Raw genomic sequence first — 14319 nt, 5'->3', positions numbered from 1 at the left:
GAAAGGGAATAGGAGCCTCGGTTTGAAAATAATTATGGGCTATAGTTTCTAGTGTTAGGAAAACTGTGAATGTGTAATGAGAATCAGGAGAGAAAAATTGGATTTTAGACCATTTCTAGTTTGAATTCAGAATATTTGGGGAAGTCAAAGCTCACTTTAGAAGTAAAATGGTTCATGTTAAGCTGTTTTAAAAACTGATACCCATAGTCAATGTAAGTGCGACCTCTAAATTAAAATGACTGTAGCTTTTATTGACCTGATAGGGTGAGGAGCAAATAGTATTAACTTTATATATGTAAACATTAAACCTCCTCCCATCTTTTTTCTTAGAAAAACATACAAAGTTTAAAATAAAGTAAATGGGCCCTAAACTTTTAAGAAATTGGCTGTAAGAAAATAATGGAATCTAAGTGTGTTTTTAGTGACTTTAAATAAATTCTCTCTTCACTAATAGGGTATTAAATATAAATGTATAGTTCTGAAATTGTGAACATGAGTAGTGGCTTTTGTACCTTTTATGGAATAAGTAACTGCAGAGTCTAAGAACTTTCAGAGGGCATTTAACTGGTTTTATATGGTAAAATTGCAAAATTATAGCACTAAAGTAGAATTGTTGTTATTTCCCAGAGTAAGTGACAGCTGAGGTATTCCGAGTGCTAATGCTTGCAGGGACCCACTGTATGTTGGCCTTATCCTTTTTCAACTGGGCACACTGTATGTAATCCACAAAGCAAACAAGTGAGCCGACATCATAATGTTTTAATGCTGCATTTGTTTCAAGGGAAACAGAGGAACAATTAAGTAGTTTGCCAGAGTAAACACATGCATCAGGACTATCTCATTCCCTGTCACTAGACTATAGGTTTCAAGTGTTTTATTTGGTTTGGAGACCCATTAAATTACAACTGGGTGGTAAATTATAAGGGAGTACCTAGTGCTAATTTATTAGATGAAACAGATTCCACAGAAGAGTGATCTATTTCCATTTTACTTCTTTACATAGTTGCCTTTTCTTTTAGAAAAGTAATGCCTTTGGTCCTTTTTAATATAAAAAGACAACGATGACTGTATTTTTTCTTTGAAAATTATAATAGATGTCATTGTCTCACATTAGACCTTGTGACTTGATGAACTGTGTAAGAGAAAAATGAAATTTTAAAAGCTTCATGTGACTGGCTGTATAGGTAAAGCAAGTGACATCTTTTGATAGTGCATATGATGAAGGGATACCTGAAGTCAAAATGTGAGATGAATTATTTTGAGTCTAAGAAATAGATACAATGGGACTTTTGTGCAAGTGTGTTTCAAAGGTGTCAAGTCATTAGCGCATTAAATGGTGGTGTTATGAATTTGGTACATCTGTCAAATGGAAGGCTTCTTGTCTTTAGGTCTATGGAAATGCAGGATCTAACCAGCCCGCATAGCCGTCTGAGTGGTAGTAGTGAATCCCCCAGTGGCCCCAAACTCGGTAACTCTCATATAAATAGTAATTCCATGACTCCCAATGGCACCGAAGGTGAGTGTCTGCCTTCTCACTATTTACTTTGCACCTTGTTTCTTCATCAGTATATGCTTTGTTATTAGGTGGTTATGATTTCAGTTGTCAAAATCATAAAACTACTCTTATATTTCCCCTTTAGGTAATAATGTGACTTACCAATCAGTACTCATTGTTAGGAGCTTCATGTTTCCAGTTATTGTAACATTGCGTAGATTGGTTTCGTTTCACCAAATGCATATACATATATACACATGTATATTATACATATTTGTGTGCATAACATTTTTAACCTTTGAGTGTGTTTTATCTTCTTATTGATCATGTACACACTGCAGTATCAATTTGTGTTGTTTTGTTGTGTGACCAGTGAAAACTTGGAATTATTTCCTTTATTTTCCCTTTTGTTGTTAAATATAGCCGAATTTGTTTAAATGTAGACGTTGGACTGGATTGTTTGTAAATATCAATGAAATAATTTGTGTGCCTAGTGTTCTTAAGGCTTTGGCTATGAAAATATAAATAATTTTTAAAAAGTATTGTTTATGAAATATACACAGCATTTAGGTGATATACACACTATTTATTTACTTAAAGATTAGTATACTTTAAATGTAGAACAATTACAATTATTTCTGTGTAATTAATACATATGAATATTTATATAAATTTTATATAAGTCGAAATACCTACTTTGATCCACGTATACTTAAGATTAAACATATAAGGTTATATGTATTTTTGCTACCTGTTATACAGTCATTTAGGTACTATGCATATTTTTAGAACTTCAACATATGGAAAGATATGTTACATATTGCATTATATTTATTTCTACTCTAGTCTATTGAAAAATTATTTCTTCATAGATTAATATTTTGCTTATTTATTCGTTACTAAGCCTTAGGACCTTGATGACTCAGAGCATACCTTTCACTAGAAGTTCAATAAATTATCCATGTTAGAATTCCATCCATATACAAAACTCTTAACCATCATTTCCCAGTCACTATGGTGATCTTTCATTACACAATTTTTTAAAAAAATAAACAAAGCTAAATGCTGTAAAATTATTGTGTTTTTTGGTGTGATATTCCAATATGTATTAGTGAAGGCTTTTGAAACTTACAATGTTATGTAATTTTTAATAATAGGAAAGATATAAAATCAGTTGTTTCTGATATGAGATGCTTTGATTTTTATTCCAACAGTGATTCTTTTAATGTGTAAATATTCTGCATTTTTCTTTTAGCATAAATACATTCATTTCAAGTGTTTATGAAAATGGGTACTATCAAAAATTGAAATTTTGCGGATGTAGCAGAAAATTAATCTCTGAATGAGGTGCCTTTTCCTCTGAAACTTTTTTCTTCCCATTTTGATAGGCAATCAGAGAGAAACTTAAATTATTTATAGGAAAGTAGTTCTAGTGTGTAAGTGGATTTTATAGAGCAAATAAAATTAAAGCAAGCAGTCCTATTTCCTCTCCTTTTGGGCTTTGACTTCAGGTAAAGCATGCCTACTGCAGAGTACAGACTGGGTGTGGATATAGTCACCCAGACTGCCGCAGGTCCCTGCGCCGGCAGGCCTCATGCAGGAGTCAGCGTGAGGGCAGCCACTGACAGGAGCTGCAGAAGGCCCGTAGGTGACCTTTAACAGGCATTTCCATCATTGTGAAGTCCAGATAAGACAGTCATTCAAATTAACTTAAAAATAAGGAAGACTAAGTATGTTAAAATATTTTGCTCAATAGAATATACGAGTACATATATGGAAGAGCAATTATGAAATACTGGTAGTTAATTTTTTTGTATATGAAGAAATGAGTAGGACTAAGAAGTTTTCATTTTCTCAACATTTTATTGGCAAGTTGTCTCCTACAAAATAAGAACCATGCAGTACTGAAACAGAGTGTGTGTTTAGGGTTCCCCCTTAGATGGCTTTGTGTGAGTAATGTGTGGTTTGTTTTCTAAGCACATGTGGAGTAATAATATATTTCTGAATATTTACTTTTTATAGCTTGATATCACATTCATATTTAGGAATACTGCACTTTGTTGGATTTTTGCATAATTAAAATAAGTTGAAACTATTAAAACATTTTAGGTAATTATGTGATCTCCTCAACCAAACTGGAAAATACATAGAATTTGTTCTTTATCTTAAACTTAATTGTTTTATGTCTTGGAAATGAATTTTTTAGACTTGATTTCAGACGAATACACAATTACTCATCTCACCCTGTTTCAGGCAATCTTCATTAATGTACTTTACAAGCATGGTGGTGGTTAGCAAGTGAAGTTAGAAGGTATCAATATAAATGAGAATAAATGAAGTTTCTCAGTCTCCTGAGATATTGTTTTATTTTAGTACTCAGTTTGAAAATGTGGACCCAAACTTCCCTCACGATCGGTGTTACATGTCCGTTTAGATACAAACAATATTGGAAAGTTCTAGGTTTTTATTAAGTGTGTGAATCAGTTTATCATGCTACTTATATGTCTCATAATATATCTATTTCATTCCTCTCTGTCACCACTAGAGGAGTTAAGCTTAAAATTAGTGAATTCATTAATGTCTGACAAACTTCTCTGGCGTGTAGTCATTATAGATTTTCCTATTTCTTCTTTGAAATCTTATTTAGTTTGAAAACAGCAGTGTTTACCGATGAATTAAAGGAATGAAATCAAGAAATTCATTACAATTTAAGAGTCTTTAAAATGTCAATCACCTCCCCTAACTCTACAATGAACATTTTCAGCTACATATGCCATGATTTATATTTAAGTGACTTCTCCGCAGCCCAATTGAAAATCATCTCAGCCCAATAGAAATTAATTAGGTCGACAGAACTTCCATTTAGTTTACACAGTTGTTGGCTTTGCCTGCATTTATATAGGTTGTCTTTTTTCACTCAGAGTTATTTTTTATTTCCTGCCACCACTTGTTCCTATAATCAGGCTAAGAAAACAAGAAAATCTCCTGTATCAAAAACCATAACTTCATCTGAAGAACAAACAAGAAGGGAATGGAATGGAGAGGCAGAGAATATTAAGTTTCTTCTTAAGTCTGCTGCCAGATTATCCTAAGACTCAATGTTTGTAGGTTCTGTACTCACAGGCTAGTGCCTATTTTCATGGTTCATCTAAGGGATAAAGACAGAAAGACACTGAGCTACAGCCTCAAGTACTGTGCTTTTTTATTTCCTACATGAAATGTTCTTCAGTTATAATAGTTGTTTGAATGTTTCATATTTCAAAACTTTCAACTATTCACATTTTTATACATCCTTCCAACCCCTCTGTGAATTGTTACTGTTGAAGTTAACTGTTGATTGGTTTCACCCAGTTTATACATCTTTGCAATATAAAAATATAAAGAGGTAAAAATAGAAAATAGTAGCATAAATGAATGCTTGACTTGCAATGAGGAAAGCACTGTAAGAAGTGATATGTTTCCAAATGAATTAATGCATATTTTTGTTACTATTAAACAACTCAAGCTTGACCTGGAAGACACTAATGGATGCTTATGAAAACACCAATCATGGCCCGTCTTTCAACTGTTTTCCCTCTTCCTTTGGACAGTTAGTCTGAAAAACTTGTCTTGAAACACATAGATTTGTCTTTAGGTGACGTAAAACCAGATGCAATTGGAGGCCAAGATGGAATAGAAATTCTATTCCACGTATTTTATTGTTAAAGCATAGCTTTTAAGAAATAGGCTTCTTGGTGATACTTCTATTAGATGATCATCAAATCTGAGAGGATTTGTAATGTTTGGGAATCTGTGCAAGCCTCTGCGTGGCAAAGGCTTTGTGTTGATATTTGTGTTAAGCATGAGAAGTAGTTGGGAAAGGTTCTTTCGAAGGATTCAGGGCTGTGGCCCTAAAAGGATTTTTATTTACGTATGTAATTAAGGCCTTGTTTGCAAAGCAGTGATTCTTTCCATCTTTGTTTTCGCTGGTTGTCTTAAGTCCATGGGAGCTTAAGATTGGTCAGTTCATATATTGCTGGTTTGAGTGTTTATTTTTGGTTGTCTTGGAGTAAGGAGTGAGGAAGGCCAAAAAAGTGTGAGCAAGCAAAAATCAGAGCTCTAATTTTGAGTTTTCTCTATTGTAAGCTTAGACTCAAACTCAAGAAGAAGCTTAAACTTGTCTTGAAACTGATAGATTTGTCTTTAGGTGATGTAAAACCAGATGCAATTGGAATCTTCACTGCACATAGGGTTTCAGGAATTCTGATGGTAATTCAAATAGTAATTTTGAATTGGTATATCAGATTTCCAAGGTGGGAACAGATACTATCTTGAATTAGGCAGCTAAATTTTCTGCATTTAAAATTTACTGTGTATTACATATTTTAGGATGATAGATTCAGTTTTATAAATTATCAGAATCTATCTTAAGCTGTTTTTATCATTTTTACAAAGCTTAGAACACTAGTAAATTATCTGGATTTGTTTTTCTTGGTGTAATTTTAATTTTGTAAAATATAGTGCTATCCAACTAGATTATTTTTAAGAAACCTGATTTACAAGAAATATCTAAACTGGAGCAAATGTGTATAAAATTATGGTTTGAGGCTGTATTTTATAGGCTATGTTTATATATTTGTGGTTAAATATTCTGTTGTCAATAGAAACATGGTAATATAACTTTATTATTGTTTACATTCTGCACAGGATTTAGTTTCTGGAAGATTAAGGGACATTGTGAATAAAGGAGTTTCTAAATGACATTTTTAGTTTGTCTGTAACCACAGAATTGGCCTCTTATAAATTGTCCTTAAACAAAAGCCATAAAAGAATGAACAAATAATTTGTTAGGATTTAATATTTTCCTATGTTGTATATATGGGAATAATTTTCACATGTCTGTTGCTAATAAATTATAATAATGCTGGCTAATACTTATGAATAACCTATTATTAGTCACTGTGATGACCATTCTCTATGTTTTGCTTTATTAATCTTTAGAAAAAAAAATTTAAAACATTGTCAACAACATAGCTAAGAGTCTGGGCTTGAATTCCAGCTTCACTATTTGCTGGCTGTGTGAACTCAGACAAGTCAGCTTCTGGGTGGCTGTTTTCTCATCTGTAAAATGGGGACTTACATCAGACTTTCTGTGAGGACGTAACATAGAATTTGCAGCATAATTGGAACTTATAAGTGCTCAGTATTAACTGCTATACCGTATGTAAATAAGTCACTTCTACAGTGTGATTCCCATTTTATGCACAAAAAAAATCCAAGACTTAGTTAAACATGAAGTTTAAAGGCACATGGCTTGTAATTAGTACCAGTGGCATCTGAGTGGGTACTTGAATTAAGTTCTGAGTCCAGAGCCTGGATTTTTAAATCACCATATTTTTCTCTGGAGAGAATATGTGATTTGCATCATCTGCAGATGGCTTTTCTAATACCTTTTACTAAACATTGGTGCTTTCATTGCCACATTGGTGCCTTCATGGCTGAATGATGCCATTCCCTAGCAAACAGCAGCGCTGTGCAAGAACCAGTGGCAGAGGCTTTGATGACAAGGACTTCATTATAAGGATGACTCCTCAGGGTGGTTATAGTCCGGTCTTGAAGTTCTGGTGTGCGTGAGTGTGTGAGAGTCCTTCCTGTGGTCCAGGTGCACATTGTATTGCATCATTAGGTTAACTTTAGGGGATTGTTTTCAAATCCTTAGACTTAATTATAATTTCATCAGCTGTCTGATTGTTAAGCCTCTCTGAGATCAAATGGAGATGGGAAATCATCTCTGCTTTTCATTATAATGGTTATTATATGCACATTTGGATTGGGGCGGTGTTACTGTGAAATTTAAAAACTGGTTGCAGTTTTGCTGCTGCTCAGAGTAAATGTTTTCTACCTCACAAAATATTTCTAAGTAGGTGATAAATTTAGTCACACTTTTCTTGACTTTAAGAACTAAATTATACCAGCCAAGCAACACTGTTGGCATTTGTTGGGGGCTCCATTGGAATAGTAATGACCAAATCTGAGAGTCGAGAACGTGCCTGGGATGTTCTAGGATCAGCAAGGAGTCCAGTGTGGCTGGAGGAGAGAGAATGGCTGGGAGTAAAAGAGGTAAAGTTAGAGGAATAGAGGGGTGGCCCGTGTGAGCCTTGTAGGGTGGCAGATAGGCTCTAGCCTCTCACCTGCAGCTAACTGTATCTTTCATAATAAGAATAGGAACCCCAGTGCTGATTGCCTGCAACTAGGCTCAGGGTTTCTAGAGCTAGGCTTGCTGATAACTAAGGTCTAGATGTAGACAGCTTTTCCCTACTTCCAATTGCTAATAGTGCAGAGAATCACAGTTCTGTGGCATCTCTCCGCTGGTTGGGCCAGAACTTTGGTATGAGCAGAAATATATCTCTCTGAGAACATCCAATTTTCTGAGAGAAACCTCTGGTTCCCTCCTGGGAGATATGTGAACCTTAGTGAATGGTAGTATTTAGTCAAATTCATATGCCTTTGGTCATAGATTCCCTGCTTTTAAGTAATTCCTGATTTCTTATGATATCCAAGGATGCCTTGGTGTGAGCAGTATATAAATAAAGTGGGGTCTGTTACATTTCTTCTCACCTTGCTAACTTGGAGTAAGGGTCAAGAGTAATTCATTCTCCTCTCTTTCACTCTAAGCGTACAATATAATAGAAAAAAAATACATACATGTTACAAATTTTCCATTTTTGGTTTGGGTAGGAAAAAATTATCTGTCATATGTCAGTGACTGTCAAATATTGCCTATACTATAGTAGAGAGAAAGCAAGTCTTCATAAGCTTATCAAGGGTTTATGTTAACGTTTAGGACCCACAATTTATAAGTGAGAGCTTATTATGATTATGTTCATGGTAATTTGCTAGTTTTACAGATTTGGGGTTTTTTTTTTTTTTTTTTTTTTGCATGCCTCCAGTATCCCATTACACCAAAAAATGGTAGACAGACTCTACCAAACACATTCCAAAGAGGTATGTTTATGTACTCCTCATAATACAAATTGGGAACTTTTTTCTTAACATTGTAACATGAGTCAAAATCTATGATGCTTACCCATTTCATCATTGTATTTATTACTAATAAGGGGATTTTAAGTGGAAAGAATCCTTTTTGTCAAAATAAAGAATATGAACTGCATTGACTAAGTTTTTGAGTACATCATATGCCCTCTACATACATTTATCCTCAAAACAATCTTTAGGCACTTTGGGAGGCTGAGGCGGGCAGAGCACAAGGTCAGGAGATCGAGACTATCCTGGATAACAAGGTGAAACCCCGTCTCTACTAAAAATACAAAAAATTATCCAGGCGAGGCAGTGTGTGCCTGTAGTTCCAGCTACTCAGGAGGCTGAGGCAGGAGAATGGTGTGAACCCGGGAGGCAGAGCTTGCAGTGAGCCACATTCGTGCCACTGCACTCCAGCCTGGGCAACAGAGTGAGACTCTATCTCAAAATAAATAAATAAATAAATAAATAAAACAATCTTTAGGGTAACTTTTAGGCACCTCATTTTAGAGGGTTTAAGTGACCAGTCTGTGAATACAATGTGTTACTGTGTTGCAGAAGAGATACAAAGGCCTTTCAGGCTGATTTCAAAGCCACATTCTTTACACTTTAAAACATGGACTCCCCAGTAGCAGTGCTTAGGTCACTAGCCAAAAAGCTGAGTTCTTGCTGAAATAGTTTATCTTCCCTAAGAAGTGTTTATGTTACCTTATCTAAGATTGTGGCCAAGATGAAAGATATACAACATTCATTTATATGTGTGTTTCACCTAGAAGAGTTTCTAAGTTTCTCGAAGCAGGGACACAAGTGTTCACTCTAGTGTCCTTAGCATCTAATGGGAGGATTGGCAATAAAGCCAAATAAAAAAAATTGTTAAATAAATGCCTCATGTTACTAAGTATATAATATACATGAATGATTATAAGAGCATTCATTAAGTTTACAATGCATTAACAGATTCAATAAGTATCTAGAGCCTGTTTTTCAAATTTTTGAAATTGATCATTTCAGACAGTTCATATAGTTGCTATGGGCTGTCCATCCACAAAACATCCACAGTCAACATTGTTGCCTGTTTTGAATTTGATCTATAGTGACTGACTTGCTTTTGACCCATAGTAAATAACTGCTTCATAAATAGAAACTTCAACTGTTAGTATATTAATAGTGATAAAGCAACTTCCACATAGTCCAAGAAACAACTGAATGATATAAGGATAAGGAAGTTAGTACACTTAGGGTTAGTGTGTAGATGGTAAGATGGTAAAGGAATAATTGGAAGTAAACATTTTGAAGGTGGGGAAAACTGCAGGGAGAAGGATATATATAGATATATATATATATATATATATATTCACTGCAGTAAAAAAATAAAAGTGTGTATGTGTGTGTGTGTATGTGTGTATACATGTAGTATATCTATACTGTATATCCACAATTACATTGCTAATTTGAGAGCTGTTTATTAAGTGATTCTATCTAGAAATATACCAAACTCCATTCTGGCCAAAGAGAAGTTCACTATTAAATGTGATTTACCACCATACTTTAAGATAAGGACTATATTCTACAGAGGAGGAGGACATCTAATCATGACTGAAGTGATTGTGGATTGTGGGGACGCATGCTGGTGATGCTTAACCTGAGTCCTGAAGAAGAGGTAGGAGAATATTGAGTGCCATGCCAGGAAGAAAGAGAGAGCTTGAGCTTTATAGCTGTGACGAAGACATTCCGAATGGCAGAAGAGTGAGTGTGTGTGTGTGTGCGCGCACGTGTGCACGTGTGTGTGTGTGTTTGTGTGTATGTGTAAGATGAGGAGCATGCACAGAGATGGGGTTTAGACACCAAAGATGATGATGAAGGGCTCCAGATATGAAGTTCAAGAATTTAGATTCAACTGTACAGGAGCTGTGGAAGCTGAAGGCTTGTAAGTTGGAAAGTGATATGATTGGGTTTGTGTTTTAGAAATGCACTTAGGGAGTATTTTGAAACTGTATTCAAGGGGTAGTGGGCACTAAGAAGGGACCCCAGGTGAGAAGAAATGAAGGCATTTTATCTGAAATCATGCGCTTATTTACATATTATTATCTTTTTCTGAACAAATCTGATACTTGCCTTAAAGACAGTGATGTGGAAAATGAGTAATATTAGAAATATAGGAAGAATTGCATGCTTGTGAGAGCAGTTTTGTAGTCGGACTTACCTAAACTAAAAAAAACACAATCACAATTCTGCTGTTTATTCACAGCAACTAACATATGCATTTTGAGAACAGAGCAGGGAGCCAAGAGTCCTGAAGCCTGCCTGCCTCTGTTTGAAGCTCTGCCACTTACTAGTTACCAAGTATGATGATGAATACTTACTTAACTGCTCTATGCCTCTGCTTCCTGGTCTGTAAAATGAAGATGATAATACTACATGCCTGTAGTGTTGCTACAACTGTTAGATGAGTTGGTAAAGTGCTTAGAACAGAGTCTGACTCCTCGAAAATGCTCAATGTCCACTGGCTATTATTATCTGTTATTTCTGAGCCTCTGCCTTCTTTGCTGTAGAATGGCATTGCCCCTTCATCACAGGTGCTATGACAGTCTATCCAAAATATTAAGTGCACTTACTGGTATCTACTACATGCTCAAAACATAGCAGCTATTATTAAATAATGTTATATTTTTAAAAAGAAACATATCTTCTGGGACTGGCTACTGTAATGTCTCCAGGTGAGGAAAAGATATATTCTCCTCCTTTGGGATCCTGCATATCAAGCACAGCCTTTGCAGGTATTTGGAGTACTTGAGGTACTTAGTAATTACTATTTCCATTAATACTCAATGTGGTTAGGGTTTATGTCTGGGTGCTCCTGTGAGTTGGTGAAGGATGAGAAAAACATATGATCTGAGATGTACATTTAGTAGATTGATTGCCTTTTAGGCAAGTAAGCCATTTTCCCACATTGATATGATTGAGGTTGTGAGTCTGAGCCAGCTCATCTGCTTCCAATCTTCATGCACTAGTTTATTTTACCACCCGCTAATTTGCAACATACACTGATATACTTTTATTCAGTGCCCTGGTATTCTTAAACCTTCTTATTGCCGTGCCATTCACTGATTGTCCAGATCTATATCAAAGGAATGATTAAGGATGATAAAACCATATTCATAAAACACTGGGCTTTTTGGCTGATTTACAAAAGATATGGCAATTAAAGAAACGTGAAACTGTGTGATCATGGACTATGTATTTAGCATTTGAAGCTGCAGTTTCCTCATCTATGAATTACACAATAATAATAAATATCTCATAAAGTTGCCATGAGGAGCAAACAATGTACTGCTTGTAAAGTGCTTAGCAAAATGTATGGCATATAGTAGGTCCTCAATAAATATAAACTACAGTTAAAATTATTACTCTTCCATTCTAAAAGTCTACTTTAATATTGCCTGTGTCATAAATTGAGAACGTTGTATTGCTGTCTGCATTTTTTTTATTGGTACAATCTTTTCATACTGTTGTGCCATGCTTCCATTATTATAATAAGCTAAAAATATTTCAATCTCACTTTGTTTTCTGAATATAATATGTATCTGTTGAAAGTCATCGAATGGCACATTTAAGATTTGTACATTTAATTATATAAAAATTTTACTTTATAAAAAGTCAAAAATAAATATGAACTCTAGTTAATGATATGAATGCTGAAGTGTTTAGGGGAAGTGTATTATATCTGCAACTTACTTTAAAATATATTAAAAATAAGATGGTTTTTTGAAGGATAGACACAGAAAAGCAAATATAGTAACATGCTAATTGTAGAGTCCAGATGATAGGTTTATAGGTGTTCACTGTGTAATTCTTCCAACTTTCCTGTCTGTATGATAAATTTTATAGCATAATATTGGAGAAAAAAGGAATCTAATATTTATTTAGTTTTTACTGTATACAAATAAACTCTGCCAGATTCTAGAAGAAATATGAAGAGGTATATGGTACTGCCCTTGTGTGAAAGTTGATTTATGCCAATTGGGTCATTTTAGTTATATCCAACTGTACTAGTTTATTTTCTGTTGCTTATGACAGAATACTTGAAACAAGATAATTTATAAAGAAAAGGAATTTATTTCTTACAGTTATGAAGGCTAAGTCCAAGGTCAAGGGCCTGTATCTGGTGAGGATCTTCTTGCTAGTGGGGACTCTCTATAGAGTTCCAAGGTGGCACAGAGTGTCACATGGGGAGGCCATGGAGCATGTTAACATGCTAGTTCAGGTTCCTCTTCCTCTTCTCATAAAGCCGCCAGTTTCCCTCTCCTGATAAACCATTAATCCATGAACCCATTAGTCCATGAATGGATTAATACATTCGTGAGGGTGGAGCGCTTGTGATCCAATTACCTTTTAAAGTTCCCATCTTTCAATACTGACACATCGGGGATTAAGTTTCAAAATTTGTTTTGGAGGGAATACATACTCAAACCATAGCACCAACTAAATCAGTTGAAGGAGAAGGGGGAGAAAGCACTTGGGGAATATAGCACCAGCTCCAAAAACTGAATTTTCTTCAAGCCCAGCTGCTGAAATGGCCTGCTGTAACCTTCAAACCAGTTTACCTAGTAACTAGTGAGACAACCTGCCATGACTCCATGACTAATTTTACCTACTGCCACCAGTCACCAGTCAGAGGTTGGCAGCCTCCCAAAGCTTCTCTAGTGCCAATGAGCTTTTCAAAACAAAATGTAACATTTTCTAATAAAACCTCCTTCTCTTTGTTCTTAGGACATACTGAAGACCATCCTGCTCTGTGTATATGTTCTGAATTGCAATTCTGTGATTTTCAAACAAAATATTTAATTTAGATATTTATCTCTCTATTTTGTGATGACTATGACACCTGTCTTAAGGAGCTCACAGGCTGGTTAAGGCAGATAAGACTTTTTAAACATTTAGCAAAAACTAAAAGGTAATATACCAAATAAATTATGGAGACTAGGATTTTCAGTCTGTGGCTTACACTTCCTCAGTAGTTGGAGAGCAAGTACCAAAGGTCCGCAAATTCAAAAGGTTTGTCTGTAGGGTGAGGAAATTAACAGGCCACATATATATTTAACTCTTTCACATATGGACATTCTGTTATGTTTATTAAAATACACATTTTTTATCTACAAATTCATAGTAGGTTTTTGTCATACACTTTGGGTTCTGAAATGTTTTGGTGTTAGAGGGCTTCATTCTCAAGAAGGTTAGAAGCCACAGATCTGAACAAAAGTGCTCTCAGAGTACAGAAGAAAGAGCTCTTCAGCTTGCTAAGGTCTGGCCCAGCTTCAAGGAGGAGATGGAATCTGAGCTGAGTATTGGGAAATGGGTAGAATTTGAATAGGTGGAGAAGAGATGGAATGCATTCTAAATGAAGAAACAATACAAACAAAGGTAGGATAGTTTGGGAGACTGTGAGGAGACCAGTTTAGCTGAAGAAGGAATTGATAGTAGATAAGGTTGGAAGGATCAGTTGGAGCCAAACTGTGGAGGACCCTGAATAGTAAGCTAAGGAATTTGGACTTCATCCTGGAGTCGGTAGAGAAGCCACTGAATATTTTGAGCAAGGGGCTGATATGGTGGAAGTGTTTTAGGTGTTAGTCTGGCAGCAGTTGCAAGGATAGATTGGATTGGGGGAGAGATGAGCATTAGTATGGAGGCTCATGTAATCTTCTCAGATTGCATATGTTAGGAAACTGAGCTAGTGTGGAAGAATGAGTTGCAAAACAAAAAGGAACATGGAGTTGTAAAAGACATTACAAAGGAGCAGTCGTGATTTA

At 35.3% G+C, this 14319-nt stretch overlaps 1 protein-coding gene across 26 annotated transcripts in view; it reads left to right on the top strand.

Annotated features, from left to right (window-relative positions):
* EYA1 (EYA transcriptional coactivator and phosphatase 1) overlaps window positions 1–14319 on the top strand; it is a 350662-nt gene that overhangs the window by 191797 nt on the left and 144546 nt on the right. For 21 of the 26 annotated variants that reach the window (NM_001370336.1, XM_011517484.4, NM_001370333.1 and 18 more), the window contains one exon: window positions 1389–1516. The exons of the other annotated variants lie outside the window; for them this stretch is intronic. In NM_001370336.1, coding sequence (NP_001357265.1) covers window positions 1389–1516 — 128 coding nt within the window. The remainder of the gene's footprint in view (window positions 1–1388; window positions 1517–14319) is intronic. 26 annotated transcript variants of the gene reach the window in all.

This window comes from Homo sapiens, chromosome 8 (assembly GCF_000001405.40).
Source record: "Homo sapiens chromosome 8, GRCh38.p14 Primary Assembly".
Taxonomy (NCBI): domain Eukaryota; kingdom Metazoa; phylum Chordata; class Mammalia; order Primates; family Hominidae; genus Homo; species Homo sapiens.
This window is presented reverse-complemented; position numbering and strand designations above follow the sequence as displayed.